Here is a 26,709-nt window from a genome sequence, read left to right on the forward strand (position 1 = left end):
AGCAGGAGTGGGGGTGGGGAGAACTGAGTCAGGTGTCAAAGTCCCCTGTGACTGTCCAGGCTGCTGGAGATCAGTGGATGACAGCTTCAAGGAGGGGCACAGGTCAGCCGGGTGCAGTGGCTCACGCCTGTAATCCCAGCACTTTGGAAGGCCTAGGCAGGTGGATCACTTGGGGCCAGGAGTTCGAGACCAGCCTGGCCAACATGGTGAAACTCTGTCTCTACTAAAAATACAAAAATTAGCCAGGCATAGTGGCTCACGCCTGTAATCCCAGCACTTTGGGAGGCCAAGGTGGGTAGATCTCCTGAGGTCGGGAGTTTGAGACTAGCCTGGCCAACATGGCGAAACCCCGTCTCTACTAAAAATACAAAAATTAGCCAGAGATGGTGGCGCACGTCTGTAATCCAAGATACTGAGGAGGCTAAGGCAGGAGAATCACTTAAACCTGGGAGGTGGAGGTTGCAGTGAGCCGAGATCACACCACTGCACTCCAGCCTGGGCAACAGAGCGAGACTCCATCTCAAAAAAAAAAAAAAGAAAGAAAGAAAAGAAAAATGGAGAGGCACAGGTGATATGACCCCTGTGGCCCAACACCTACAAAGGTCTGGGGGTTGTCCAGGGAGCCTGCGATGGCTGCTTCATGAGTGCTGCCATGTGAGGCCTCACTCAAGGCTTTTGTAGGAATCGGGCAGCTAGATTTTCCCCAGACGCAGTAACCTCATGAAAAAGAAACGATGCCTGCCTGCCATCCAGTTCATAAGTGGGACAAGAGATGGAAGAAAGGAGGGGGGGCAGGAGGGAAGGGCCTTCCCCACAGGAGGCATCGGAGCTTGGGGTCCCTCTCTATCCCCTTCCGTCACTCGCTTCCCTGCAGCCGGCTGTGACCACAAGGTGACATCCACCAGTGGTACCATCACCAGCCCCAACTGGCCTGACAAGTATCCCAGCAAGAAGGAGTGCACGTGGGCCATCTCCAGCACCCCCGGGCACCGGGTCAAGCTGGTAAGGGGTCCCCTCCCCACTCCTTATGCGGTGTGGCTGCCCCCGGTCAGAGGCACTGCCCAGAGCCACACAGGCTGCAGGCTGAGCCCAGAGGTCTGCCATCCCCAGGAGACCCCAAGTCTGGCCTGGACAGAGGCCCCTTTCCCAGTATAAATTAGGGGCGTCCCTGCCTTCGCCCTATTCCTGGGCCCTCCTTCACTGTCATCCCCAGCTGTGGCTGCTCCCATGGGTATCTGTGAGGCCTAGGTTTGGGGCCCTCATCCTTGCCCCACCTGCCTTCCAGCCAAATTTTTAATCTGTGCTCCTTCCTCATCCCCCTAGACCTTCATGGAGATGGACATCGAGTCCCAGCCTGAGTGTGCCTACGACCACCTAGAGGTGTTCGACGGGCGAGACGCCAAGGCCCCCGTCCTCGGCCGCTTCTGTGGGAGCAAGAAGCCCGAGCCCGTCCTGGCCACAGGCAGCCGCATGTTCCTGCGCTTCTACTCAGATAACTCGGTCCAGCGAAAGGGCTTCCAGGCCTCCCACGCCACAGGTACTGTCCCCGGTTGTGGGAGTGTTCACTGAGCCTGGTCTCCAAGACTGGGGTAGAGTCGGGGGTTTCAATGCGGGTATGAAGGTACAGAGGGACTGAGCCCTGCGACCCAGGGCCAGGGTTGTGGGTGATGCAAACATTGTGTCCTGAGAACCAGGCCTGGGGGGCAGGGATAGGAGGGTGTGGTTAGGGGTTAGGATGGCAGTGATGACGATGGACAGGAGAGGTGAGGGAACTCAGGGACAGAGAGGAAAGCCCCCAGAGGTCCCCCTGAGCGTACGCGGGCCACCGCAGCAGCCCAGCCACACACCAACCCTGAAATATACTCTATTCATTCTCTGATATTTATTTTTTTATTTTTATTTTTATTTATTTTTTATTTTTTGAGATGGAGTCTTGCTCTGTCGCCCAGGCTGGAGTGCAGTGGTTCGATCTTGGTTCACTGCAACCTCCACTTCCTGGGTTCAAGCGATTCCCCTGCCTCAGCCTCCCGTGTAGCTGGGATTACAGGAGCCTGCCACCATGCCCAGCTAATTTTTGTATTTTTAGTAGAGACAGGGTTTCGCCATGTTGGCCAGGCCAGTCTCAAACTCCTGACCTCAGGTGATCCGCCCGCCTTGGCCTCCCAAAGTGCTGAGATTACAGGCGTGAGCCACCGTGCCCAGCCCATTCTCCTGATACTTATTGACATGTAACATGGATGAGGCGGCATCCTAAATGCAGGTCCCAGAAACAGACCAAGCAAAGATCCCAGCCCTTGAGGGGCTTGCTCGGCTTTCACTTGCTTGTTTATTTAGCAGCCATGAACTGAGCTCCGCTCTGCGAGAGGACTAAGGGGCACGTGGCCTGAATCAGGCATGAGCCCTTCACTCCTGCCCCCCACCCCATACTAGGAACTCGCAGTCCAGGAGAGAGACAAGGCAGGCACCGCCCGTGACAGCATGAGCCCAAGCGGGAGCCAGGCAGGAAGAAAGGCACCCCGGCCTAACTGGGCATGTGTTGGTAGAGGCATTCGAGGCAGGGGGAGGTGCCCAGGCAGAGACACAACCCCAGCCCAGCCCAGAGTGTGCCCAGGTGACAGCAGGTCATTTACTTTGGCCGAAGCAATGGGTGTGTGAGGACAGCAGGTTGTGGGAATGATGTGGCTGCAGAGAAAGGCTGGAGTCCAGGGGGATGCCTTGAGTGCCAGACCAAGGATGCCACGAGGGAGCTTTGCAGTCTCCTCCTGGGTCCTAAGCCACCTGTCAGGGCATCCCCAGAGCTGATGGTCCACAGCCTCCCCTCTTCCCCTTCAACTCAGTCCCTGACCCAGCCCCGTCCTTCCCTCTCCCCACCTCCTCTAGCGAGACCTGAGTGCCAGGTGCACAAAAGCCAGAGGGCCTGGGGAGGAGGGTGGCCCCATGCACTGTCCTCTGCCCTTCCCAGCACAGGGTCACAAACCGGAGGCCCGGAACTCCATCTGGCCCTCAGACCTGCTATGTTTGGCCCACACTGTGTTTTTTTTAAAAATGTGAGCCAACACTTAAAAGTTAGGAGTTTTCACATAAAACCCAGATGTACGGCTTCTCTCTTGAAAATGGAAGCTGTGGCGACACTGGGCCCACATTCTTCCATGACAGCCATCAGCTGGAGAAAATGAGCAATGCCCTCTTTAGACAAAGTGTGTGGTGCCTCGTGCCACCGCTCCATGCTGTCTTCCTCTCGGTGAGCCTCACTGCCTGTTCCCCTCAGCCTAGGGCCAAGGTCCCTCTATTTAGAGATGGGGCAGCACAGCAATGTTCTGGGCCAGGCCCCCACCCACCCATCACTGGCCTCGTGGCCTTCACCCAGGCCTCCATCCTGCCGTGAGGGCACGCCATGGCATAGTGTGCCATGGGGCCTGGCACCTGCGGTGCTCAGGGCTGGTTGGCCCCTCTTGTCCCCTACAGAGTGCGGGGGCCAGGTACGGGCAGACGTGAAGACCAAGGACCTTTACTCCCACGCCCAGTTTGGCGACAACAACTACCCTGGGGGTGTGGACTGTGAGTGGGTCATTGTGGCCGAGGAAGGCTACGGCGTGGAGCTCGTGTTCCAGACCTTTGAGGTGGAGGAGGAGACCGACTGCGGCTATGACTACATGGAGCTCTTCGACGGCTACGACAGCACAGCCCCCAGGCTGGGGCGCTACTGTGGCTCAGGGGTGAGGCCCCCACCCCTCGCCCTCCTGGCCCCATGCCCCACGCCCCACACTGTCCTCCACCCTTCTCAGCCCAGTCTCCAAGACCTAGCGCCCACACAGGCCCCGGAAGTTGAGTGCAGCACGCGTGTGGCCCTGTGTGGGAGCCCAGAAGCCCAGCCTTGTTGGGGCTACTCAGAGACACTGCCCCATCCCCGACGTAGGAAACCAAGTCCTTTCTGGGCAACCTAGAAGTTCCTGCGGCCTCTGACCCAGGCCTGCCTCAGAACCAGTTGGCCACGGCCTGGAGCGGATGGAGCTTCCTCTGTCCCTCCTTTCCTTACCCCTCCCCCAAGGCAGCCCACCAGGGCCTGGAATGGGGGGCAGAGGTTGGCACCAGAGCCGGGGACAGGGCGCCTGAGCGGAGTGGCCCTCACCAGTCCTTTTGCCGGAGGCATAAACACTCTTGTCATTTCCTCTACCAGTTTCTCCTCCTGATGAAAGGCCAGCTTGTCCCAAAGCTCTTGCTGCTGCTGTCCCAGTGGCCCCTGGGCACTGCTTCTTGGTCCATAAAATGGCACGTTAAGAGTCAATGAGCAAAAGTAGGCTTGATGGGCTTTTCCCTAAGGACATGGGCTAGCCTCGTGGGGAGGATTTATTTTCCTCCCTGTAAGAGCTTGCAGCTGCCTCTTCTTCTTTTTTTTTTTTTTTTTTTGTCCTTTCCTGAGGGCTTCAAAGAGACAGACTGTCTTCCTACCCATCTCTCTCTCTTTCCCTCTCTCTCTCTCTCTCTCTCTCACACACATACACACACACTGGCACACCCACTTGCATGCACTTTCAAATACACTGGCCCTCCTGTCACCTCCCTGTCCCCTTGCCTATCTCATGGCTGTATCCCAGGCAGCCTGGGTGCCCCAGGAAGGGTTAAAGCTCCTGGAAGCTGCAGCAGCTGCTGGACCCAGCATTGGCTGAACCTCCCCCAGGAGCAGAGCTTCAGCCCTCGTGTGGCTGGCAGGGGCTGGGACAAGGTGGAGCCTGAAGCAGCTTGGCTGCCCTGGTGTCCCCTGGCTGCCAGGCTAGTGTCCCCTCCCCTCTTTGCTCTTTCTTCTGAATCACACACCAAATCGGATGTCCCCAGGTGTCTTCTTCCAGAGACCTCCCCCAGGCTGAGTTGACCGGAAGGAACTTGGGGAAGGATCAGGGCCTCCTGGCACAACTACTCGGAATGTCCTCAAGGTTCTCAGAAATGATTTCTTCTGTGCCTGGAAGGCCAGGGCGTTGACGTCCGATGCTCTGAGGGCTGACCTCACTCAGTAGGCTTGCAGGAGGCACCTAAGAAGGGCTCGGGAGCAGACCTTGGCCAGGTGCCAGAGGAGAGGCGGGGCAAGGGGTAGGGATGGCAGAGTCCAGGCCTGGGGGGCACTGTGCTTCTCTCCAAAACTTCCTCCACACTCCAGCAGAGAAGTGGCTGTGCCGTCTTCCCTAAGAGTCCACTGGGACAGCAGGAAGTGATGCCATTCAAAGAACTCCCTCCCTTTGCAAAATACTTTGACATCGGTGCAGTCCTTTGTTTTTCCCCAGCACCCCTCCTAGGCATGGAGAGCAGAGACCTTTTGCTCCTGTTTGTGGCTGAGGGAAGTGAGGCCCAGAGATGGGAGGTGGCTTGCCTGAGACTACACAACTCATTTAGTAGTTATAGCAGAGCTGGGTTTACGGGAACTTAGTTCTCTTCGGCCCACGCCTCCTCCCCTCCCCAGGTTCCTCATTAAACCAGCAAGAAGCCCTATGCTTCAAGGGGCGGGGAGAATCTGGTGGCTGCCTGGGAGCCTCCTGCCCTTCAAAGCTGGGGATCTTGGGGAGGCAGGACAGCAGCCCCAGCCCCTCTTCCTCCACCTTACCCCATCTCTTTTCTCTGCCAGCCTCCTGAGGAGGTGTACTCGGCGGGAGATTCTGTCCTGGTGAAGTTCCACTCGGATGACACCATCACCAAAAAAGGTTTCCACCTGCGATACACCAGCACCAAGTTCCAGGACACACTCCACAGCAGGAAGTGACCACTGCCTGAGCAGGGGCGGGGACTGGAGCCTGCTGCCCTTGGTCGCCTAGACTGGATAGTGGGGGTGGGCGGAAGGCAACGCACCATCCCTCTCCCCCAGGCCCCAGGACCTGCAGGGCCAATGGCCTGGTGAGACTGTCCATAGGAGGTGGGGGAACTGGACTCCGGCATAAGCCACTTCCCCACAAACCCCCACCAGCAAGGGGCTGGGGCCAGGGAGCAGAGCTTCCACAAGACATTTCGAAGTCATCATTCCTCTCTTAGGGGGCCCTGCCTGGTGGCAAGAGGGAATGTCAGCAGGACCCCATCGCCATCCCTGTGTCTCTACACGCTGTATTGTGTATCACCGGGGGCATTATTTTCATTGTAATGTTCATTTCCCACCCCTGCTCCAGCCTCGATTTGGTTTTATTTTGAGCCCCCATTCCACCACCCCAGTTTCCTGGGGCACAAGTGTCTGTGCATGTCCCCCAGGAGCCACCGTGGGGAGCCGATGGGGAGGGGATGGAGAAACAAGACAGGGCTTCTCTCAGGCCCAGTGGCCGGTCAGCCACACCAGGGCACCGCAGCCAATAAACCGAAAGTGTTACAGCCAATATCCTGTGCCAGATGCTGTCTGGGCCATGGGGGCGGGGCCATCATGTTCCAGATGTATGGGCTTGCTGTGGAGGCTGGCACGTAGCCAGGGCACCTGGCATCACGGGCTGCCCTTCCCTCCCCTGATCCCAGGCTGCCAAGGGTGTAATTTCACACTCAGGCACAGATACTCGCAGGCACCCATCACAGCGCGCACACACACCACACGCACTGCTCGCGGTCCTCCCACATGAGGGGAGGGGTGGAACATTCCATAAAGTGGCTGTTTGGTGGGGAGGGAAGAAGGATGTGAAAGGGGTCAGGGGTGTCTGTCCGTCTGGGTTTTCTGTCTCTGCATCTAGGGAAGGAGTAGGTGGGCTGCAAGGGTGTCCACCTAGGTGAGCACACGGGGGCCAGAAAACCCACATCGGCTGGGACAGGTCCAGTTGGCCCCTGGTGCCTGTCTTCCTGCCGGTCAGATGCTGAGTGCTGGTCCCCATGGATCCCCCTGTCTTCGTGGAGACAAGAGCCAGAACTCAGCGGCCACTGAGCAAACATCCCAGCTCTGGCCCCACTTCCCAGGTGACCCAAATCTATGTCTTGTCTGGCCTCCTTCTTCCTGCCATCGCACACCCCGCTTCCCCATCCCAGACCTGTACCTCCCAGAGGCCAGGAGGAGAAACCACATCTCAGTTCCCTCTCTCCCCTCTCTCTACATGGATCTCAAAAGGAAAGAAAGCCCAGGGCAGCCCCGGCTCTTACGCCCGGGCTGGGCGCTCCCAGGGTCCGGGGAGAGCTGGGCGGCCTGCTCTCTGGACCCGCAGGGGCCCCCACCCCCAGGAAGCAGCCTGGCATGGGGGACTCCATCTTGGCCCTCTAAGCAGAAGGTATCAGTGGAAAGCAGGCACACTGCGAGTGTTGGATGTGTACGCAGGGCCCTCTTCTTCCAGGAAGCCCACCTGCTCTACTGCTCAGGCTGTAGCTGTCTCCTCGAGGCCTGACCACCAGTGTGGCCCCAGGGCCCTGAGAGAGAGCTAGAGGTGCCCAGAGGGGTTACTGCTTGTTGCACCAGTAGAGTCACAGGCTGTGATGTCACAGCCACTCCTCCCTGCTGCTGCTTCCTCTGAAAGGGAGGCTTAGGACAGCCTGGAGGGCCATGACAGAATGGAAAAACCTCTACACTGGTGGAGCTGCCTGGGCATCTCACCCAGACACTGCCCACCCACTTGGCATGAGCTCTGCCACGGAGTTGGTGGTCAGTGGCCATAGATCTCCTTACCAGCCCTCTGGGTCCTTCGGAAGCTCAAAGGACCACAGTCCCAGCTCACAGGCCAGGGTCATAACCCTGTCCAGGCAGGGGCTTCAGCCCACAGAGATACATTGGGTCCCCCACCCCAAACAGGGTCCTTATGGACAGCAACCCCCAGCTAGAGGAAGGCTCAGGATAACCCATGCAGCCACCTTGGCACACGTCTCAACACTCCATCACCCACAAACATGGGTTCTTCCAGCAACTCAAGAACCCACGCCAGCGAGCCCTCCAGACGTTCCGTAGGCCCCTCTTCAGAGGTAGGCAAGGGGCTGTGGTGCCCTAGGTCCAGGGTAGGCCCAGCCAGGGGAGCTTCGGCACAGAGTATCTCAGAGAGCACCCACACCCAAACGGAAGCAGTGCAGGAGCCCCGGCCACCGTGGGCGCTCCCAACCCACCCCATGGAGTGAATAAAGATCCTGAAGACCGCCGAGGAGGTCCACATGGCGGTTCCGGATCTTCTGCCCTGGTCAGCCAAGAAGCAGGGGTACAGGCCTGTCTGGATGCCCAGATGTCCACCCGCAGGTGCTTGCAATTGGGCAGGAGGCAGCCCAAAGCATGGATAAGGGCGTCCATTTGATAGAGAGGGAGGAGAGGGGAGGACAAAGAGGAAGAGGACAGGGAGGAAGAGGAGGAACACTCAGAGGACGGAGGCTAGAGAGTGCTGAGGAAGACAAGATGGTGGCTGGAGAGGAGGAGGGGAGGAAGGAGAGAGAGGATGGAGAGGAAGGGGAGGAAGGGGAGGAGGAGCAAGGATCCGCCTCCTCAGGTGATGGAAGCCCCTCAGGAGCTGGCTGCAGGCCACTGATGTGTATTTCAGAATTTGGTAAATTGATGTGTTCTGTGGGCCCATCCTACCCTCACCTTCTAGCTGCCCAGGGTTCTAGACGAGCCCCCCACCCCCACCCAGTGCAGCTGCCCCTCTGCGCAGGTGATTCCATGGTAGAGGAAGGTACACTTGCTCCTCCTCCTGTGTCCCAGCACCTCAGGTCCCCTGGGGGCTTAGCTGAGGTCCCCTGGGGTCCTGAGCTCATGATAAGCATTCGCATGGGAAAAGCCGGGATGCAGCTGCCCCGACCCTACACTCCCAGCCCCAGTAGCCAGGTCAAGGTGAGCACATCCCTGGGAGCTTCGAACTTTCTGGAGCCCTCGGCCAAGAGGGCAGCATGAGCCTGGCAGTCAGGAGACCTGGCTCTGCTACGCTTAGCTCTGTGACACTGGCCCACTGCCCCCTCCCTGGTCCTCTGCTCCCCAAACCTATCACCTGTTCCCAGCACCCTTCCTGCCACGTCCTGAGAGACAGATTTGAAAATCCAACGTCTTGTCTCCGAAGCAGTCAGAGGGCAGGGCACCAGGCAATTGAAGTGACTGGGACCCTCAGCAGAGATGTGGCAGCTTCCAGGGACAAGTGTTGGCTCAGTTGTAAAATAAGGAAAGTTGAGTGCCTGGCTCTGTCCCTCACTCCCTTTTTCTCTTTTTCCCTGCCCCTCCCTCTAACCCCACAGGATCCCCAGTAGTAAAAAAGCGACAAACTTGAGAGCAAACAAAACCCATTTTGAACACCAGCCCCACCATTTGGTGGCTACGTGACCCTGGAAGAGTCACTTCTTTGAACTTCAGGTTCTTCATGGATAAGTGTGGGATGATACGGTTATGAAGGAATGAGGCCAGGCACGGTGGCTCATGTCTGTAATCCCAGTGCTTTGGGAGTCTGAGGTGGGAGGATCACTTGAGCCCAGGAGTTTGAGACTAGCCTGAGCAACATAGCGAGACCCTGTCTCTACAAAAAATGTTTAAAAATTTATCCGGGAGTGGTGGTGCATGCCTGTAGTCCTAGCTATATGGGAGGCTGACGTGGGAGGACTGCTTGAGCTGGGAGGTTGAGGCTGCAGTGGGCCGAGATCACACCACTGCACTCCAGTCTGAGTGACAGGAAAAAAAGAAGGAATGAGTTAACCTTTGAAGACAGCCGGTCACAGTGCCTGGCAAAAGGGGGCTCTTAATAAATGGGCCTGCTTTTCCTTTCCTCTGCTCGCTCCCAGACGACTCCACTCCTGTATTAAAAGGAAACTTTCAGGTACAAAAGTAGTTTCCAGGTGGGCACTAGGAGCTTAGTGTAGAACTTCCCCTGCCGGAGGGGCACCGCTGAGCCCACAGCAAGGAGGGGGCTTCAGGGCAGCAAGGGACATACTTCTGGCGAGCTGGTGGCCTCCCAAGCCACACCCTGTACTTGACTGTCCCTACGCACAAGGCCGATTCTAGAATCCGAAAAGCTTTGTTGCTCCGGTTTGCAAAAATAGTAATGCCTGACTTGGAGAGTGGGGGACAGGGCAGCCAGATGTCTTCCCCAGAGAACCCTGAGCCCCCAGCCCAGCCTCCCGCCAACCAGAGCTGCTGCCTCTGCTGCCCCAGCCCCCTCCATCCCACACCCTCCCTTCCCCCACCCCTTGAACATCTGGTTCCAATCTCCTCCAGATGTTGTGGCCAAGCTGTTTTATGGCCAATCACCTCGGCTCCGCTTCCTGAAGGCCTCCCTCCACTTTGGGGAATGGACCCTCCTCGTCCCTTTCCTTGGGACTCCAGCCACCTCTTTCCTAACCTGGAGAAGAGACACATACCAAAGCCAAATGAAACTGCTAGCGTCCTCAGAGCGGGCGCCTCCCCTCCCTCCACTTTGTGGGATGCCCAGGTTAAAATGAAAGATGCTGGTCCAGGGGCAGAGGAACGGCAGGGAAGTATGGGTGCGCGCCCGAGCAGAGGAGTTTCAGTTGTGAGTTGTGTGTGTGTCGGGGACCAAGCGCGTGCCACCACGTGTTTGTGTCAGGTATGTCTGTGTGTTTGTGCCTGCACAGCGGAACCCCTCACCTGGCATCTGAAGCTTCCCCTTGTGGCCGCCACCTCGTTTTCCCTGGCTGCCTGCACTGCCGGAAAGAACTAACTCGGGGCCCCTCAGCTGGACAGTGGCAGCTACGGGTTCAGGGTTGTCCCTCACCTTGCAGCTGTCTGTGGCCTTCTAGGCTGTCCTCTAAATCCAGCCCAGCGGGGGCGGTGCATGTGTAGGCGTGTGTGTGTGCATGTGTGTGTGCACTCCCACGTGGACCTCTCTCCTTCCACCAAGTCAGAATAGGCCAGAAAGGACCCCAGGGCGGACTCCAGCGGACGCTCTGACCCAGCTCTGTCTGACTGGTGCTTCGAGCGAGTATGGCAGGGCTGGCTGTGCGCCGGGACTCACCATCTGGACAGAGGAAGGAGAAGCAGAAGGCTCTCTGAAGGAACCTGCCTGGGGCTTCCCACAATCCTACCTCCATTCTGCCTTCATGCTCCACCATGAGGGCTCTGGGAGCCAATCTCTCCTCTCCTCCCAAGAAACCCAAAAGGGTTCATAAAAGGAAGACTGGAGCCTGCCCCTCTGGAGGACTGAAACCCTCTCAGCTGGGAGTGGAGAATCCTGTGCAGGCCCGCCCAGAGGCAGAAGGGTTGGCCCCGAGTCACTCCATTCTCAGAATGCTGGATTTGAGGTACTGCCCACTACTCCCTTTGTTTTTCAAAAGTTGGGGTCTCGCTCTGTGACCCAAGCTGGACTGCAGTGGCACGCTCATAGCTTACTGTAGCCTTGAACTCCTGGGCTCAAGTGATCCTCCGACGTCAGCCTCCCAAGTAGCTGGGACTACAGGCGCGTGATACCATGGTCCGGCTCCGCTCCACTATGCCTTTAAAATAAGCTTCTGTGCCCTCCGTGACTCCATAGCCTCCCCCCGCCCACCCCTGTGATATTCTGGAACTAGGCACAGACGTGCTTAACTGGTGTTGTGGAGGGGACCCCTGGGGGTGTCACTGTGTCTGAAACAGGACTGTCCCAGGTAGCCCCTGACATACACTAGAGGAGACAGGCACAGGGCAGAAAATGGGAAGATTCTGGTATCTCAATCAAAGCCTGGGCACTGTCACTTACAGGCTGTAAGACATGGGCAAGGCTTTGTGCCTCAGTTTCTACTTCTGTTAAGTGGGAATAATACTCCCCAGGACCATCGTGAAGACTAAAGAAGCTGATGTGTGTGACAGCACCCAGGTGCCTGGTGCATAGTAGGCCCTCAGGAGCCATCATCTGCCCTTCTGCTTTCCTTTCTACCCCAAAAAGGCTGTGCCCTGAGCTCTGGATGACACACGTGAACATGGCCTTGAGTCAGGCAGTGTTGGTGAGGACTCTGACTTCTTTAGAGCTTTTCTACTCCAGCAGAGGACCATATCAATAAGTCCATAACAATAGATGCAGGCCAGGTGCAGTGACTCAAGCCTGTAATCCCAGCACTTTGGGAGGCAGGAGGATCACTTAAGCCCAGGAGTTTGAGACCAGCCTGGGCAACACAGGGAAACTCCATCTCTACAAAATAAAAAATGTTAAAAAACCTAGCTGGGCATGGTGGTGTACGCCTGTGGTCCCAACTACTCTGGAGGCTGAGGTGGGAGGATCACTTGGGCCCCAGAGGTTGAGGCTGCAGTGAACCATGATCGTGCCACTGCACTCCAGTCTGGACAACAGAGGAAGACCCTGTCTCAAGAAATAAAAATAATGGCCAGGCACAGTGGCTCGCTCATGCCTGTAATCCCAGCACTTTGGGAGGCTGAGGTGGGTGGATCACTTGAGGTCAGGGGTTCGAGACCAGCCTGGCCAACATGGTGAAAGCTCATCTCTATTAAAAATACAAAAATTATCCAGGCATGGTGGCATGTACCTGTAGTCCCAGCTACGTGGGAGGCTGAGGCTGGAGAATTGCTTGAACCTGGGAGGTGGAAGTTACACTGAGCCAAGATCGTGCCACTGCACTCCAGCCTGGGTGACAGAGCGAGGCTCCATCTCAAAAATAATAATGATAATGATAATAATAAAATGATAGATGCAGAGGTGACTGGGATCTATAAACGGGAGCTGTGTTGGGGAGCGGGGACACTCAGGCACTTGGGACAGGGACATTTGGTGGCATCTGGGTCTGGAGCAATGGCAAGCTGCTGTAGTAGGAAGGCTTCAAAAGCTCCAAACGGGGCCTCCAGATGCTGTGAGTCCTCTCCTAGGACGCCCCATGTGGGAGGCCCCATATGGGAAACACTGGGTGGGACCAAAAGACTCCAAAGTCCCTTCCAAGCTGGAGACTCAGCTCTACATCCTGAGCCCCGCCTCCCACAATGGACGAGGTGCTCCCTTGGAGCTGATTTCAGGTCGCCTGTCCTGGGGGCATTCCCACCTGAGCTCCTCTGTGGTTTGCAGAACTCACCCATACCATCACTGGCCCAAAGGGATGGGGTGCTATGGTCTGAATGTTTGTGTCCCCCCTAAATCCTAGGTTGACTTTTTTTTTTTTTTTTTTTTTTTTTTTTTGAGATGGAGTCTCACTCTGTAACCCAGGCTGGAGTGCAATGGCGCAATCTCGGCTTGCTGCAACCTCCGCCTCCTAGGTTCAAGCAATTCTCCTGCCTCAGGCTCCTCAGTAGCTAGGATTACAGGCATGCACCACCACGCCCAGCTAATTTTGTATTTTTAGTAGAGACAGGGTTTCACCATATTGGCCAGGCTGGTCTTGAACCCCTGACCTCCACTGATCCACCTGCCTCAGCCTCCCAAAATGCTGGGATTACAGGCGTGAGCCACCTCACCCAGCTCTAGGTGGAAATTCTAACCCCAAGGTGATAGTTTTAGGAAGCAGGGCCTTGGAAGGCGATGAGGTCATGAGGGTGGGGCCACATGAATGGGATTAGTGCCTTTATGAAAGGGGCCCAAGATGGCCCAGAGCAGTGGCTCATGCCTGTAATCCCAAGCACCTTGGGAGGCCAAGCAGGTGGGAGGATCACTTGAGGCCAGGAGTTTGAGGCCAGCCTGGGCAACAAGGTGAAATTCCCCATGTCTACAAAAAAAAAAAAGGAGGGGCAAGAGAGCTTGCTAGTCCCTTTCACCCTGTGAGGACACAGTGAAAAGAGCCATCTGTGAAGCAGGCCCTCACCAGACACCGCTTCTGCCAGCACCTTGATCTATGAGAAATGAATCTGCGGTTTCTGAGCCACCCAATGTGTGGTATTTTGTTACAGCAGCTCAAATGGACTGAGACGAGCAGGGCCCTCAGGCCATGGTGGTTTATTGATGCACGTCGCAAGCACAGCACAGGCAGGCGGACCCCAGCCCCGGGGGGACATGAGGGCCAGGGGAGGGCAGTGGGCCACCCCCACAGCAATGCTGTCAGCACAGGGGGAAGGAAAGGGCCTGGGCCATGTTCTCTCCTTCTCCACACCTCTCCCCAAGCCTCCAGGCCTCCTGACTCATCCCAGAGAGACAGCTGGCCACACAACTGCCCCTGGCTACAGATAGGTGACCGTTGTCCACCTGTCCCTCACCGAGGTATGGCCTTGCCGGCCCGCTGCTGCTTCCGTCCTTCATCACGAAAATCCAGCTGCTCATCCATCATCTCTGTCACCTCTGAGAAAGTCACTGTGAGGCTGCACTCTCCTCTGCCTGATGTCACCTCCATCATCCCCCAAACAGCCGGCTGCTGCTGTCAGCCCCTCCCACAGGCTCTCTGTTTGCTTTGTTGATTGTAGGGAGTCCACCCTCGTGACCTGTGTGACAGTAGGAATGAGGCAAAAACACAAGGAGGCCCGGGAAGGACTTCACCAAGAACTCCCCGGGGAGGGGCTCCCGGCCAGCAGGGTGGCAGGAGAGCAGACAGAGCCAGTGGGGAGGGGAGAGGCGGAGCAGCAGAGGGTCCACAGTCCAGGTCACGCATGGGCACAGTACAGTCATGGCACCATGGCAGAGCGAGTGAGCAAAGTGCACAGCTGGGCGGGGTGCCGGGGCCCGCGGGACAGCTTACAGGTCTCACGTTCCATGCCAGGCCCCAGCAGAGCATGAGGCGGCCCACTCCCAGCTGAGGAAGGGGCACCTCTGGGTCTCAGGGGTCTCCTCCCCCTCCTCAACCCCAGTGGCTGCTGTCTCAGACCCCTGCACTCTAAGCAAGGAGAAGGTATGCTGGGGTATGGAAGGAAGGAACATCCGACAGCCTGACGCCCCCAGTGCCAAGAGAAGAAAGAGAGTTCCTTTCTAGAGAGCAGGGGGAGTGTCCCGGTGGGCAGGTGGAGAAGGAGGGACAGCTCTCCCATGCAGGAAGAGGGTTCTTTGGGGCAAGGAGCAGCCAGGGAGTCACGGTGGTGCAGGAGACTATTTATAGAAGGAAGGGATCCAGGCCTGGAGTGGGAAGCCCCAGAGACCCAGCTCAGCAGGGAGGGGGCATTCTGTGGTTGGCCCTGAGTGGGGTGAGTGGGACTAAGAAAGATCGCCCCACAGCTCTCTGCATCTCTTCTGGAGGCAGCCAAGCTACCCATGGGCTTTGGCCCAGAGGGGCTTCCCTGGGAGAGCCCAGGAGGTGGGCAGGTCTTTGGGAGATAGAGACCTGGACGAGGCAAAGAACAGTAGGACAAGGAAACCAGAGGAAAGGGGAAGTTCTCCAGAAGTCCAGCCCAGCTGCCAACTACAGAGGCTGAGAAGCCTTTCCATGTCCACCAGGCTGGGTGTGGGCCACACTTACCAAGAGGACCACCGTCTGTTGCCTCCAATGCCAAGGGGCGAGGGGAGGGCAGCTGGGCAGAGTGGAGGGAGCAGGGGGGCAGGAGAGAGAAAGCCAGCTCCCTGAACCTGGGCTACCCACCTCCACCTTCCGCTCATCTCTCCCTCGCCCCCCAGCTCCCCAGGAGTCCCTAGCGGCCCACGCTGATGTTGCAGGTCTTGCAGCTGGGGTCCTTCTTGGCATCGGCAGTAGACAGACTCATGAGCTGGTGCCCACTGATCTCCCCCAGGGTGCCCAGGGACAGGTCGACGGGCTCAGTGTAGATGATCTCCAGGATGAGGTCCTGGGCGTGGCGGAAGACCAGCTCCCCATCCTCCACGCTGCAGGTCAGGAACTTGTTGCAAGCAATGTCCAGGAGGGGCAGGCGGTCGCGGCAGAAGCGGTCCCCCAGGGAGCCTTTGGGCGCCAGCACCAGGATGGCGTAGTGGTAGGCCGTGTACATGCAGTAGAAGTCCGCAAAGTAGAGGTTGGTGCTGGGATTGAAGAGGCGCTGAGCTGGGATCTGGAAGCGCCAGCGGCCGTAGGGGGAGTCCTGCGGGGGCTGGCCCGTGTTGAACTCCGTGTTGCAGCTGAAGAAGACCCCGTGGAGCATACCGCTGGTGGGGGAGCCGTGGCTGCCACTGTTGTCCTTCAGGTAAGGCTGCAGCATGTTCCCGCAGTGGGTCCTGCCCACCCCAGGGAGACACACCAAAGGGAAGAGAAGATGTGGCTGGTGAGCCGGGCTGAGGCTTGGCTGCTGCGTGTGGTCGAGGAGGGAGGAAGCCAGCCCAGCTCCCAGCCCTCCCCCAGCCGCCTCCACTAGTCGCAAATAGAACATTCCAGAATGCAAGAGCAGGGAGGGCCCTGGAGAGGGATTCAACCAGCCCACTCCTTCTCAGAGAAGAGATATGAAGCTGTCACTCCCCAGCTTGAAACCCTTTGATGGGGTGTGTGTGAAAAACACGGCGGCTCATGATCTGATCTCTGTGGTCTCCTTGCCACTCCCCACCTCCTGCCACCCCATCCACTTACCCACCCCCTGCACACACAGTCTCCTGCCTCCGTGACCCCTATGCAGGACTCTTCCCTCTGCTGCACTGACTGCCCTCTCCACCTTCCTCCGTCTGGCTTGGCAAACTTCTAATTAGCCTTCAAGCTTCAGTCAAGCGTCTGCTCCCCTCTAAAACCTCCCAGGAACAGCAGACACCTGCACTTGACAAATTTTTGGCTTCCTACTATGTGCAGGACACCCAATCTTCTCACTATGTTGCCCAGGCTGGACTTGAACTCCTGGCCTCAAGTGATCCTCCTGCTTCAGCCTCCCAAAGTGCTAGGATTGCAGGTGTGAGCCACTTCACCTGGCCAGGACACTGAACTGTGCTCAACAATTACACGTACTTTTTACATGAAATCTTTCCATACTGTCTCTCTGACTGGATTCTGAGGTTCTCAAAAGAGTGAACTGTGCCTTTATCTTTACATCCTGGCACCAAGTAAGGTGCCTGGCACCCATGAGTGCTCTCTATCTCTCCCACTCTCGCTGATAAAGGAGCCCAAACTGGGCCACTGACTTGCTTTCCAGGCTGGAGTGCAGTGGTGCAATCACAGCTCACTGCAAGCTCGAACTCCTGGGCTCAAGCAATCCACACCCGGCTAATTCTTTAAATTTTTTGCAGAGGCTGGGGTCTCACTATGTTGCTCAGGCTAGTCTTGAACTCTTGGGGTCAAGAGATCCCATCTCGGCCTCCCAACGTGGTAGGATTACAGGCTTGAGCCACCAAGCAGGCCTTGCTTCTTTAATACAAACCCCAAAGACTCCCAAGGTCCTCACTGCCCTGAGGTTAAAACTGCCCTGACTGTAAGGATAAAGACAGACAGAGGCCGGGCGTGGTGGCTCATGCCTGTAATCCCAGGACCTTGGGAGGCCGAGGTGGGCGGATCACCTGAGGTCAGGAGTTTGAGACCAGCCTGGCCAACATGGTGAAACCCCACTTCATTAAAAATACAAAAATTAGCCGGGCATGGTGGCGCATACCTGTGGTCCCAGCTACTCAAGAGGCTGAGGCAGGAGAATCATTTTAACCCAGAAGGCAGAGGTTGTAGTGAGCAGAGATCGCGCCCCTGCACTCCAGCCTGGGTGACAGAGAAGACGCCATCTCAAAAAAAAAAAAAAAAAAAAAGGCAGAGCAGCTGCTTGCCCTGGCTGAGCCTCAGAAGGATGCGGCCTTGGAGCACTTGCCAGCAGGCCCGGGGATGGTGGGTACTCCTGGTCCTGCCTCACATTGCCTGGTCCTGGCTGTCCTCAGTAACAAGTGACTCCCTGGCTCGAATGAACAAGTGCTTCCCTCTGGGCCTCAGGCTCCTCTTCTGTAGGCTGAGGGTGTTGGATCAGATCACCAATTTTCAAACACTTTTGGACTGCAGCAACTCTCTTTTTATCCCCAAAAGAAATTATACGTGGAAGGGTCACAGGCAAATAAAATTGAGGCTACTCTGACTGGAGGTCAGGTGTGGGGCCCACCAAGCCTCAACCTCTGGTCCCCCCAACCCCATGGCAGCATTCTAAGGGGTTCACTGACATGTCTCCCTGGAGGGAGCACCCAGTTTGAAAACCGACGAGCTGGGTGCTTCCTCGAACCCTTTGTGATCAGAACACTCATTTTGTGCACTCCCTGCCACCTTCCCTTTGGCCCCAGGGCCTGAATCGGAGAGACCTGTGGTGGTAGACCCCTGTGAAAGGAACTGTCCCAGAGTGGGAGCAAACCCAGACCTCATTCTCCCAGGCTCATTAGTACAACACTCTTGCAGAAGGCCCTGTCCCCAGAGCCCTTGATCTTCCCTGAGCCCAATCCCCAAAGTAGCAGTCTCTTCAGAGCCAGCCTGGTGACGTCAGGACATGTCAACCCTAGAGGAGGGACTGGCAGCCACGAGGGTGGGGGTGACCTCAGACAGCCAGGACAGGAGCAGGAAGGGCTGGGAGGGAGGAGAGGCCCGGCGGGTCCAGCCGGGAGCCCGCGCCCATACCTGGCATGCTGGAAGTACTCCTTGTGATGGTTGCGGTAGAAGACGGAGAAGCGGAGCATGCGGCCTGCGATCTGCTCAGCTTTCTCCTGAAGCTGAGCCAGGTGCTCCTTGGCATAATCTGCAAGATCCCAGATGCGGTAGGTGAGCCGAGGGCCAGCTGAGGAGCACAAACACCTCCTGTCCCCACCCCACCCCACACTGTGTGTGCCGGCCAACCTCTGTCCGCCAGAGCAGCAGGGGAGACTAGACAGTCGCAGAACCTTAAACTCAGATGGGAACAGGCCAGCTGGCCTCTGCTGGAAACACAGAGCGCTGCATACTGTCTGTCGTCATCACCTCTGCAACCACATTGCCAGAGGCTCCGGGCTCTCCGGGTCAGAAAAAGGCAGAGGGCTGCCCAGTTATCCTGCCAGGGTCCTCAGGGGCTGTGATCCCAGGCCATCCTCATGTGAAAAGAGGACCCCTGGGAAAAAGGAAGACTTGAGACGGGAGGGCTTGAGGTCCTTTTGGGAAAGTCTCTCAAATACAGTAGATAGGAGGCTGCCCACACCACCCCCATGGAAGCCAGCTGTAATTACAGGTGACGGCTCGTGAGGGTCTAGGGAGAACTGAGCCCAGGCAATGTTTAGGCAGTCCTGGGTCTGGAGCAATGGCTCTCAGCTTGAGCATCTCAGGAGAAACAGGGAAGGCTGGAAACAGGATAGCAACATTGAACCCTGGGGCCCCAGCAAGGCTGCTGCTGGCACATACAGCTCCTTGGTACAAATTAGAAGATGCCCTTCCCTCTTTGTGGCTGCATCCCTGGCCAGGGTGCTTGGTTTGGAGAGAGGAGTGTGGACTGGATTGCAGCCAGATCTCCAATTTGAATTAAATGCCCACTGCACATGGAGGTCTCAGGGGTAAACCAAGAAGCTTTCCCCACCAGGAGCAAGAGGCCTCCAGAGAGTGGGGTTCTGCAGCAGAGCTAAGAAAAAACACCACTCAACCAGCAGCAGTGGTTCACGCCTGTGATCCCAGCACTTTGGGATCACTTGAGCCCAGGAGTTTGAGACTAGCCTGACCAACATGGAAAAACTCCATCTCTACAAAAAAATATCAAAAATTAGCCAGGAATGGTGGCATGTGCCTGTAGTTCCAGCTACTCAGGAGGCCAGGAAGCTGAGGAGGGAGGATGGCTTGGGCTCGTGGGGAGGAGGTTGCTGAGGCTGCAGTGAGCCATGATCATGCCACTGCATTCCAACCTGGGCAACAGAGCAAGACCCTGTCTCAAAAAATAAAAATGAAAAAGGCCAGGGATGGTGGCTTATGCCTGTAATCGCAGCACTTTGGGAGGCCAAGGCAGGCAGATCACCTGAGGTCAGGAGTTCAAGATCAGCCTGGCCAACATGGTGAAACCCCATCTCTACTAAAAATACAAAAAAAAAAAAAAAATAGCCAGGCATGGTGGTGGGCGTCTGTAATCCCAGCTACTCAGGAGGCTGAGGCAGGAGAATCGCTTGAACCCGGGAGGCGGAGATTGCAGTGAGCCGAGATCACGCCACTGCACTCCAGCCAGGAGGCGACAAGAGCGAGATTCCATCTCAAAAAAAAAAAAAAGGCAGAAGGAGAAAAAAAAGAAAAAGCACCACTCAAAAGACAACAGCAGCTCAAGGAGACTTGGGGCATAAATCTTGGCAAAGGATAGAGCCAGCAGCCTCAGAGGCCCGGGGCTGAGAATGTTCCGTGTCTCTTCTGTGTGACAGAGAGATCTGGAGCAGCTCTCACCGTGAACACCAAAAGAATGTAATCTTGTGGGGGCAGACCCTGAGTCGTGAGGGACCAAGCACACATAGGCCCACTGTTTGTTTGTGATGGAGTCTACAAGTTAAGTTCTGCTAAGAGAGTTTGCGGGGCCATTGACCAGGGGCCATTTTCCCAGGCTACGTGAAGGCTCAGAACAAGTGAAATGTGATTGCCTCACCAAGTGCACATTGACAAATAATTGATTAAGCAAAATGTGGTCTATCCATACAATGAAATACTATCCAGTTTCAAAAAGGAAGGAAATTTTGGTATATTCCAGTCACAAAAAGACAAATCCTATACAATTGTACTGATATGAGACACCTAGAGGAGTCATATTCATAGAAACAGAAAGTAGAATGGTAGCTAGCAGAGGGAAATGGGGGGCGGTTATTTAATGGGTATAGAGTTTTGGTTTTCCAGGAAGAAAGGTTCTGGAGACTGGCTGTACAACAATGTGAATATACTTAATACCACTGAACTGTACACTTCAAAATGGTCGAGACGGCAAATTTTACGTCATGCACCTTTGACCACAAGGTTTAAAAAGATGCCTGTGATCTGGTACCAAGCCCGAAAAGTAACTCCCTTTCTTAATGGAAGTGGTCTTGCCAGCGTGATTAGTGGGGTTCGCATTTGCCTCCAGTGAGAGAAGAGAAAGGTTGGGCTCCTGGAGGCAGGGAGGGTGTCATGCCCGTGCATCTCCCCTGTGGCCCAAGCACGCTGCCTGGTGGACAGAAGGTGTTCATCAGTGTTTGCTGGACTACGAGGAAGACCCGCCTTGACCACAGCAAAGCCCGACGTGCCAAGCAGCAGGACAGGGGTGTGATAGCAGGGCCTCACCCCCAGTGCAGAACTCCACCGTCTCGCTCCAGCCGGACACCAGGTACTCCCCATCGCTCTGCTTCACTGCCGTCTGCACGGCCACACTGTACTCCGTGCGGGGGCTCAGGAACCAGTGGCCTCTCACCGTCATGGGCAGCGGCACTGCCTTGGCCACGAGCTTGGTGGGGACGTCCTGAGAAACAGGGTACAAACAGAGAGCCAGGCGTCAAACAGGGGTTCATGCCCAATCTGGGCATCACCCCAGAATCCCCACTCCCCAGATGGCCCTGTTTCTCCTGAGCAGGACCAATCTTGAGGATCCAATGGCTCCATACCCTGGCCACCATTTTCCTGGGAAGGCCACCCAGACACTCCACAGCCTTGGCCCCTCCTCGAACCCCCCTGACACCCCGTTCTCTTGGGAACGGAGGGGAAAAGCCACAAAGTTGAGGACGGCAAGGCCTTCATTTTTTAAGGAGACTTTGAGAGCTCTGCACACTGCAGTGCCGTCTCCACGGCAACGGCAAATGCTGAGAAGCCAGGGAGGAAGGGAAAATATGCCTTATTCTTTGGGGGGGAGGGTTAAGGGGGTGGTGTTGAACATTCACGTCACCGTGGCAACTGGCCTGCCAAAAGACACCCAGATCGGGAGAGCCGGTTCCAGAGAAAGAGAGCGGGTGAGTAACCCACGCCGGTGCCGTCGGCCTGGGAGCCAGCTGGCCGCCTCACTCCCCCTGCCTCTGCCAGCTTGAGAGGATGGGGGTCTTCCTCCCACCCACCCCCACACTGGCTTTTAACCCCAGGAAAGGACACACCCACGGAGGACTCTCTCCCATTCCTTTTCTAAGTCAAGCAAATGGCAGGCCAGCAGGTGAGGGGCCCGAGAGGGAGAACTGAGGCCACAGCAAAAGGGCTCCGCCCCGACCGAGGCCCGTGTGGCCCACCCAGCCAACAGCGAGGCTGTGCCCTGAGCCGGGGCTTTGTCGAGACTTGAGACGTCATCCCCATAGGCGAAGCCTGCGGCCCCACCCTACCCGGGCTCTCTGCCCCTGCCTGAAGTCTCAGTTGTGGCGCTGATAACAACGCTCCCTCTGTGCTAGGCGCCGGGCCAAGCACCACGCAAACATGACTCACTGCATCCTCTCCACGACCCCGTGAGGCTTGGCATTGTTATTCCCTCTTTACCAGGGAAGGAGCTCAGGCTCAGAGAGGTCAAGTAACTTTCCCAAAATGACACAGGAAGAAGAGTGTGGATTTTAACCAGCCTCTGACTCCAAGCCATCACTTCCAGGTGTTCCCTTATCCGGCCTCCTTCAGGAACAGAAGCTGGGGAGGGGCTCCCAGGACACCTTCTACTCACCCGGTGCTTGAACTTGTTGGAATTCTTATTCTCCTTCTTGTTAAGGTCAATGAAGTAATGGGTGACCCTCTCCAGGTCACTGTCCTCCATGGCCCAGGAGATGCGGAAGGAGTCGCAGGTGATGTTGTTGATCTCAATGCTGTGGGGCGTGGACAGCAGCTCCATGCTCCCGTCAGGGTTGTCTCCTGTGGGGACTGAGGAGGAGGGAAAGGGTCAGTACATCCCTTGACCCCGGCGAGCTTTCTGGAATGTCCTCCTCCCAATATCCCTTTCGAGGCGGAACCTCAAGGACCCCTGGAATCCACATGCCTCATGAACCAGATGGGAAAGACTGTACAGGGGAGGCTGGAGAAGGATGATGGAGGGTGGAAAGGGGTGCCTGCCCGGGGGGCTCTTTGCTCTCCTCGGAGGGGTCTGCAGAGCAGACGGCACCTGACAGGTGGCAGAGGCAGTGGGAATGCTGCAAAGCCGGGCGGGGACAGATTTGCAGCAGATGGAGCCGAGGAGGGAGGGGGCCCTCAGCCAGCAGGCGTGAAAAGAGAAAGGGGTGGGGGTGGAGAGGACGGGTGAGAGGCGGAGGAAACGCAGGAAGCACCTGCTGTGGAGCGGAGGTGCGAGGCTTGGGGCAGGTGACAGCCAAGAGCTCACAGGTGCCAGGGCCCTCGGATTCAGGCCTCTCTCCTCACTGGGGTCAGCAAGCGTTGCCGCGGTACATGGCTGGAAGGACAAGTGCCACGTTGGTGCATGTGGACACATTCGTGGTGGGAGGGGTACGCGGCACAGCCGGCTTCAAGCTCTTTTTCCACCCATAACTTTTTTTGATGATCCCTCTTTCTCTTTCGGCCAATCTTCTCTTGACTCCTTTCAATCATGACTTTTAACATTAACATCTATTAGGGGCCGGCCATGTGCTCATAATTTCACAGACGTCTCATGCAACCTTGGAAGTAGGCACACACTATCATTATCTCCATTTTACAGATGAGGCGACTGAGGTTGGGGAGGTACTAACATGCCCAAGGCCACGCAGAGAGCAAATGATTTGAACTCCGGCACCCAAGCTCTTGATCACTAAGCTAAGATAGTGTCCCCTCATGTGTGGGGGTGGAGGGGCACATGTGTGGCGTGTGTGCATGCATGGGTGCCCATGGTGTTTCCACCTGGCATTTTTCCTCCTTCCATCGTTTCCTTTCAAGCAACTGCATTTTCTCTCCCCTCCCTGTCTTACTCCTTTGGTTCTCCCCTTATGTCTGCTGCTCGTCCAGGTATGAGAGGACCTCATCACGGTCACTCTCATGTGTGCTTTAGCTGGGAAGAGCTGACTCTGGCCATGACTCTGGCCTGGCTGGCCTAGCTCCGGGATGGGGAAGAGCAAAGGGAAGGGGAGTGACAGCGTCTGGGAGGGGACAGCAGACGTGGGTGGGGCATTCTCCAGGGGCATTTGGTCTCCTGCTTTCCAATCCCTTCCTCCAGCCCAGTTCCTGGCACCCCTCATTTTTCTAAATGTCACCTCCTTCTCTTCTTTCTCCCCTCTTTTTCTCCTCCCCTTGCCCAGGAGCTAGTGGTGAGGGCATCTTGTGCCTGCAAAAGCAGGTACTTTTATTTATAGCTTCCAGAGGATCCAGCCCACACCTTCCTGTCAATTAAGCTTGCTCCAGAGCCTGGCACCTCTGTATTAACCTGTGAGTTGCCTGGATGGCAAGTACAGGGTGAAGGCTAAAGGTGATGGCCCTTACCTGCTCCAGGTGTCACTCAAGTCCTGTTTCATCTTAGCCTCCCACCCCACAGCCAAATGCCGGTGGCTTTGTGCATGGGGAATCCTATGGTAAATAAGCATGGCGGTGCTACCAGGCCCACCCCAAAATCAGGCAGATGGGATTGAGTGTCTGGAAACAACCCTACCATAATAAACCAGTTTGTAATTCATGGGGACAGGTGTGGAGCAGTGGGGAGTTACCATCTCTTGGGAACCTGGTGAGAAGCTCCCAGGGAGACACACATGTGCCCCTCACACACACACACGCACACACACACACGAACACAGACACACTCCTACCCAAGAGGCCCTGAGCGGCACCCACCCACACGCTCGGAGGCAGCCCACACTCGTCCCATGAGTAGGCACCTATTCCTGCCTCTCCTTGGAGTCCTCCTAGAAATAGGGGCAGCTGTGTTTGGCGGTAGGGGTCTCCAGGACCTGGGTGTCTGCTTGTCCCTCCCTCCCTACGGTTCTGGGAAAGCTGAGATGACATCCCCCCGCTAGCTTGGGAGGGTGGCAGTGAGTGAGCTGGGGTGGACAGAGGGGTGGGTGTGAACCCAAGTTCTCTACACCCAGAAGACTGGGGAAGGGCAGGGTGTGAGGGACAGGTTGAGGCAACACCCGAGAAACACCCACACTCCTGTGTGGATCCACCCCAAGACAGGCATGTACACACCCACACACAGGCAGGCACGCACGCGCATACACACATGCGCCAAGAGTGCCCACCCACCCGCGTCCCACACCTCCGCAGATGTCCTCACTCCCACACACCCATCTCCACATTCAGGTGCCTGCTGCCACCTTCCACATTCTAAGAATGCCCCACAGTTTTCCCTCTTCAATCTGTCACCTCCATGCACACCCAGACATGTTCATGTCCACAGGCTCACGCACACACACGTCCACGCACACCGCCTCACAAGCCATATGTGGGGAAAAGAGGATGCCACAGGCACCAACATGCATGTGTGCCACCTCCACAAGAAGGCACGCAACCCACACGCCTGCCGGCACACACATGTGTGTTCATACACACAGCAGCCCCCGCCCGAAGTCTGGTATTCTCTCTCGAATCATCTCCAGGCTCAAAGACAGACTTTGAAAATGTGTTTGCCTCTGGCCACACTCTGCCAGCCCTGAGCCTTCATGCCAACAGGTTTGTGCACCTACGTGGCTCTGCCCACAGACAATGGTTTCTGCCCCTTCTTCTCTTTACCCACTCCATCCTGCTCTGGGTCTCACCTCCCCATATAGAAAGCCCCTGTCTGCATACACTCCCACACACATGAAAAGGGACATGGTTACCCCTAAATATACTGCCTCATAGTGTCCCCACCCACGCACACCCACAGGCTACTCAAATAAGTCCCCCACACACATGTACCTCACGTGTGCCAGAAAGATATGTTTCTAGACATGCCTCACACCATTCAAAACCCACACATGAGCATGACTGCGGACAGACGGACCTATCTGCGCCAGCAAGCCTCCAGCCAACTCGCGAGCGCGCACACACACACGCCGCGCACACCGGTGCCCCTTCCCCATGCCCATTCAAACAGCCACCCTGCCACAGGGAATGCTTCCCCCACCCTGCTGTCCCTGTTGGCATCGCTGACTGCAGCAGAACGGTCACGGGGTGACTAACTGTGGTGCCCCAGAGACTGGATTCAGCCATTAACCACTTTGCCAAAGGCCTGGCCGGGGGGGGGGAGAGGGGACAAGGTCGTCAGGCCTGGCAGTCCAGGTGGGCACCCTGGGTGGTGGCAGGACCCTAGAGCCCCCAGATCCCGGCTACTCAGGATCAACAGCAGCAGGTTCCAGGGAGGAAGGGTACTCACCTGGCTCCACTGGGCTCTGCAGAGGAAAAGCTCGCAGGGAGGACAGGGAGAGACCTCTGCGTGGATGAGCTCCCCGGCAGGGGACAGCAGCCGGACGCCTGGGTCACGGGCAGTGGCGTGCGCTTGCTCCTCTCCCGGCTGCCAAGGAGGCTGCTTCCATGCCCCGCAGCCAGCTCCTGTCTGGCTGTGCAGCGCGTCGCTGCTGCCCCTGGTGAGACGATGTTCCCAGCTGAGCAGCGCAAGAAGAGAGGCAAGAGCGAAATCAAAGCAGCGTGGAGGAGAGAGAGGCAGAGAAGGGAGAAAGAACGAGAGAGCCAGACCGAATCTGCCTCCACCAATGGGATCAGCGGCTGCGCAGCGTCAGGTGATAATAAGCAGGCTTGGTCCCTGCTCGCCGGGCTGGTGGGAGGGGGAAAGGGCAGAGGGTCTCCCAGGGAGCTACACAGATGTCCTCAGGGACAGCAACACACGCCGCCTTTCCCCCATTCTTCCAGGACAAGCTGCCCTCAGAAGTCCCTCCAACACACCCCCTACTTGGAAATCTCTGACTTGAATGCAGCCCCCAAACTTTAGGATGCTGGGAGAGGGGTGGAGCTTAGCCAAGGGCTTGGGCCCCAAAGCAAAGACTCTGATTGGGGGAAGGGGAGGGAGGCTGTAGAGGGGAAAGGTCCAGATGGGGGGTGTGAAGCTGGGGTGGCTGTCTTCAGTCCGGAGCCTCTCCTTGGGGCCTTTTGGTGAACTGTGGTTCCATTTTCTTACCAACTCTAGAGAGAGATGGCAGACCTGCAGCTCAGGGATCCCTGTGGGTCTGGCAAGAACCCTCTGGCAGCTTGGGGGTCCACAGGAAAAGGGGCTGGGAGAGAGGCTGTGGCACAGTGCAGGGTGCACAGGGG

General features: G+C 56.8%; 2 protein-coding genes across 8 annotated transcripts in view, besides 12 other annotated features; one reads left to right on the forward strand and one right to left on the reverse strand.

The window, feature by feature from the left end:
• BMP1 (bone morphogenetic protein 1) overlaps nt 1–6,347 on the forward strand; it is a 46,955-nt gene extending 40,608 nt beyond the window's left edge. For both annotated transcript variants that reach the window (NR_033403.2, NM_006129.5), the window contains exons 17-20: nt 875–1,002; nt 1,324–1,537; nt 3,466–3,716; nt 5,615–6,347. Coding sequence is in view for 1 of the 2 variants with exons in the window: in NM_006129.5 (NP_006120.1) it covers nt 875–1,002; nt 1,324–1,537; nt 3,466–3,716; nt 5,615–5,749 (728 nt within the window). In the remaining variant the exon portion in view is untranslated. The remainder of the gene's footprint in view (nt 1–874; nt 1,003–1,323; nt 1,538–3,465; nt 3,717–5,614) is intronic.
• Nucleotides 4,184–4,875: an enhancer, noted in NCBI's record as "H3K4me1 hESC enhancer chr8:22067676-22068367 (GRCh37/hg19 assembly coordinates)". NCBI's record gives its function as "activates a minimal SCP1, AML or CMV promoter by ChIP-STARR-seq in primed H9 embryonic stem cells {active_cell/tissue: H9 hESC(primed)}" and the evidence as "EXISTENCE:reporter gene assay evidence [ECO:0000049][PMID:30033119]".
• Nucleotides 4,876–5,566: an enhancer, noted in NCBI's record as "H3K4me1 hESC enhancer chr8:22068368-22069058 (GRCh37/hg19 assembly coordinates)". NCBI's record gives its function as "activates a minimal SCP1, AML or CMV promoter by ChIP-STARR-seq in naive H9 embryonic stem cells {active_cell/tissue: H9 hESC(naive)}" and the evidence as "EXISTENCE:reporter gene assay evidence [ECO:0000049][PMID:30033119]".
• Nucleotides 5,567–6,258: an enhancer, noted in NCBI's record as "H3K4me1 hESC enhancer chr8:22069059-22069750 (GRCh37/hg19 assembly coordinates)". NCBI's record gives its function as "activates a minimal SCP1, AML or CMV promoter by ChIP-STARR-seq in naive H9 embryonic stem cells {active_cell/tissue: H9 hESC(naive)}" and the evidence as "EXISTENCE:reporter gene assay evidence [ECO:0000049][PMID:30033119]".
• Nucleotides 8,403–9,265: an enhancer, noted in NCBI's record as "H3K4me1 hESC enhancer chr8:22071895-22072757 (GRCh37/hg19 assembly coordinates)". NCBI's record gives its function as "activates a minimal SCP1, AML or CMV promoter by ChIP-STARR-seq in primed H9 embryonic stem cells {active_cell/tissue: H9 hESC(primed)}" and the evidence as "EXISTENCE:reporter gene assay evidence [ECO:0000049][PMID:30033119]".
• PHYHIP (phytanoyl-CoA 2-hydroxylase interacting protein) lies at nt 13,724–26,120 on the reverse strand. 6 transcript variants are annotated; one of them, NM_001363311.2, is made up of 7 exons: nt 25,817–26,120; nt 22,809–22,930; nt 22,214–22,407; nt 20,872–21,046; nt 18,247–18,364; nt 15,325–15,908; nt 13,724–14,239 (listed from the first exon to the last, which is right to left on the reverse strand). In NM_001363311.2, exons 3-6 carry the CDS (start codon nt 22,376–22,378, stop codon nt 15,374–15,376), a joined length of 993 nt encoding a protein of 330 aa, NP_001350240.1. In that variant the 5' UTR covers nt 22,379–22,407; nt 22,809–22,930; nt 25,817–26,120; the 3' UTR covers nt 13,724–14,239; nt 15,325–15,373. The 6 variants fall into 6 exon arrangements, 5 of the variants coding, with proteins under 5 accessions (NP_001350240.1, NP_001350241.1, NP_001092805.1 ...); NR_156475.2 differs by lacking the exon at nt 22,809–22,930 and having other exon boundaries at nt 15,205–15,908; NM_001363312.2 differs by lacking the exon at nt 22,809–22,930.
• Nucleotides 14,035–14,735: an enhancer, noted in NCBI's record as "H3K4me1 hESC enhancer chr8:22077527-22078227 (GRCh37/hg19 assembly coordinates)". NCBI's record gives its function as "activates a minimal SCP1, AML or CMV promoter by ChIP-STARR-seq in primed H9 embryonic stem cells {active_cell/tissue: H9 hESC(primed)}" and the evidence as "EXISTENCE:reporter gene assay evidence [ECO:0000049][PMID:30033119]".
• Nucleotides 17,871–18,373: an enhancer, noted in NCBI's record as "H3K4me1 hESC enhancer chr8:22081363-22081865 (GRCh37/hg19 assembly coordinates)". NCBI's record gives its function as "activates a minimal SCP1, AML or CMV promoter by ChIP-STARR-seq in primed H9 embryonic stem cells {active_cell/tissue: H9 hESC(primed)}" and the evidence as "EXISTENCE:reporter gene assay evidence [ECO:0000049][PMID:30033119]".
• Nucleotides 21,135–21,842: an enhancer, noted in NCBI's record as "H3K4me1 hESC enhancer chr8:22084627-22085334 (GRCh37/hg19 assembly coordinates)". NCBI's record gives its function as "activates a minimal SCP1, AML or CMV promoter by ChIP-STARR-seq in primed H9 embryonic stem cells {active_cell/tissue: H9 hESC(primed)}" and the evidence as "EXISTENCE:reporter gene assay evidence [ECO:0000049][PMID:30033119]".
• Nucleotides 21,135–22,593: a biological region, named in NCBI's record as "P300/CBP strongly-dependent group 1 enhancer GRCh37_chr8:22084886-22086085".
• Nucleotides 21,394–22,593: an enhancer, noted in NCBI's record as "P300/CBP strongly-dependent group 1 enhancer chr8:22084886-22086085 (GRCh37/hg19 assembly coordinates)". NCBI's record gives its function as "activates an origin of replication core promoter dependent on BRD2, BRD4, P300/CBP, MED14 and CDK7 cofactors, with strong dependence on P300/CBP, by STARR-seq in HCT116 cells {active_cell/tissue: HCT116}" and the evidence as "EXISTENCE:reporter gene assay evidence [ECO:0000049][PMID:35650434]".
• Nucleotides 21,843–22,550: an enhancer, noted in NCBI's record as "H3K4me1 hESC enhancer chr8:22085335-22086042 (GRCh37/hg19 assembly coordinates)". NCBI's record gives its function as "activates a minimal SCP1, AML or CMV promoter by ChIP-STARR-seq in naive and primed H9 embryonic stem cells {active_cell/tissue: H9 hESC(naive and primed)}" and the evidence as "EXISTENCE:reporter gene assay evidence [ECO:0000049][PMID:30033119]".
• Nucleotides 24,655–24,824: an enhancer, noted in NCBI's record as "experimental_102823 CRE fragment used in MPRA reporter constructs". NCBI's record gives its function as "activates a minimal promoter by MPRAs in K562 erythroleukemia cells, with activity observed for both the introgressed and non-introgressed 8:22088232 variant alleles {active_cell/tissue: K562}" and the evidence as "EXISTENCE:reporter gene assay evidence [ECO:0000049][PMID:34662402]".
• Nucleotides 25,750–26,497: an enhancer, noted in NCBI's record as "H3K27ac-H3K4me1 hESC enhancer chr8:22089242-22089989 (GRCh37/hg19 assembly coordinates)". NCBI's record gives its function as "activates a minimal SCP1, AML or CMV promoter by ChIP-STARR-seq in primed H9 embryonic stem cells {active_cell/tissue: H9 hESC(primed)}" and the evidence as "EXISTENCE:reporter gene assay evidence [ECO:0000049][PMID:30033119]".

Source organism: Homo sapiens, chromosome 8 (genome assembly GCF_000001405.40).
Source record: "Homo sapiens chromosome 8, GRCh38.p14 Primary Assembly".
Taxonomy (NCBI): Eukaryota; Metazoa; Chordata; class Mammalia; order Primates; family Hominidae; genus Homo; species Homo sapiens.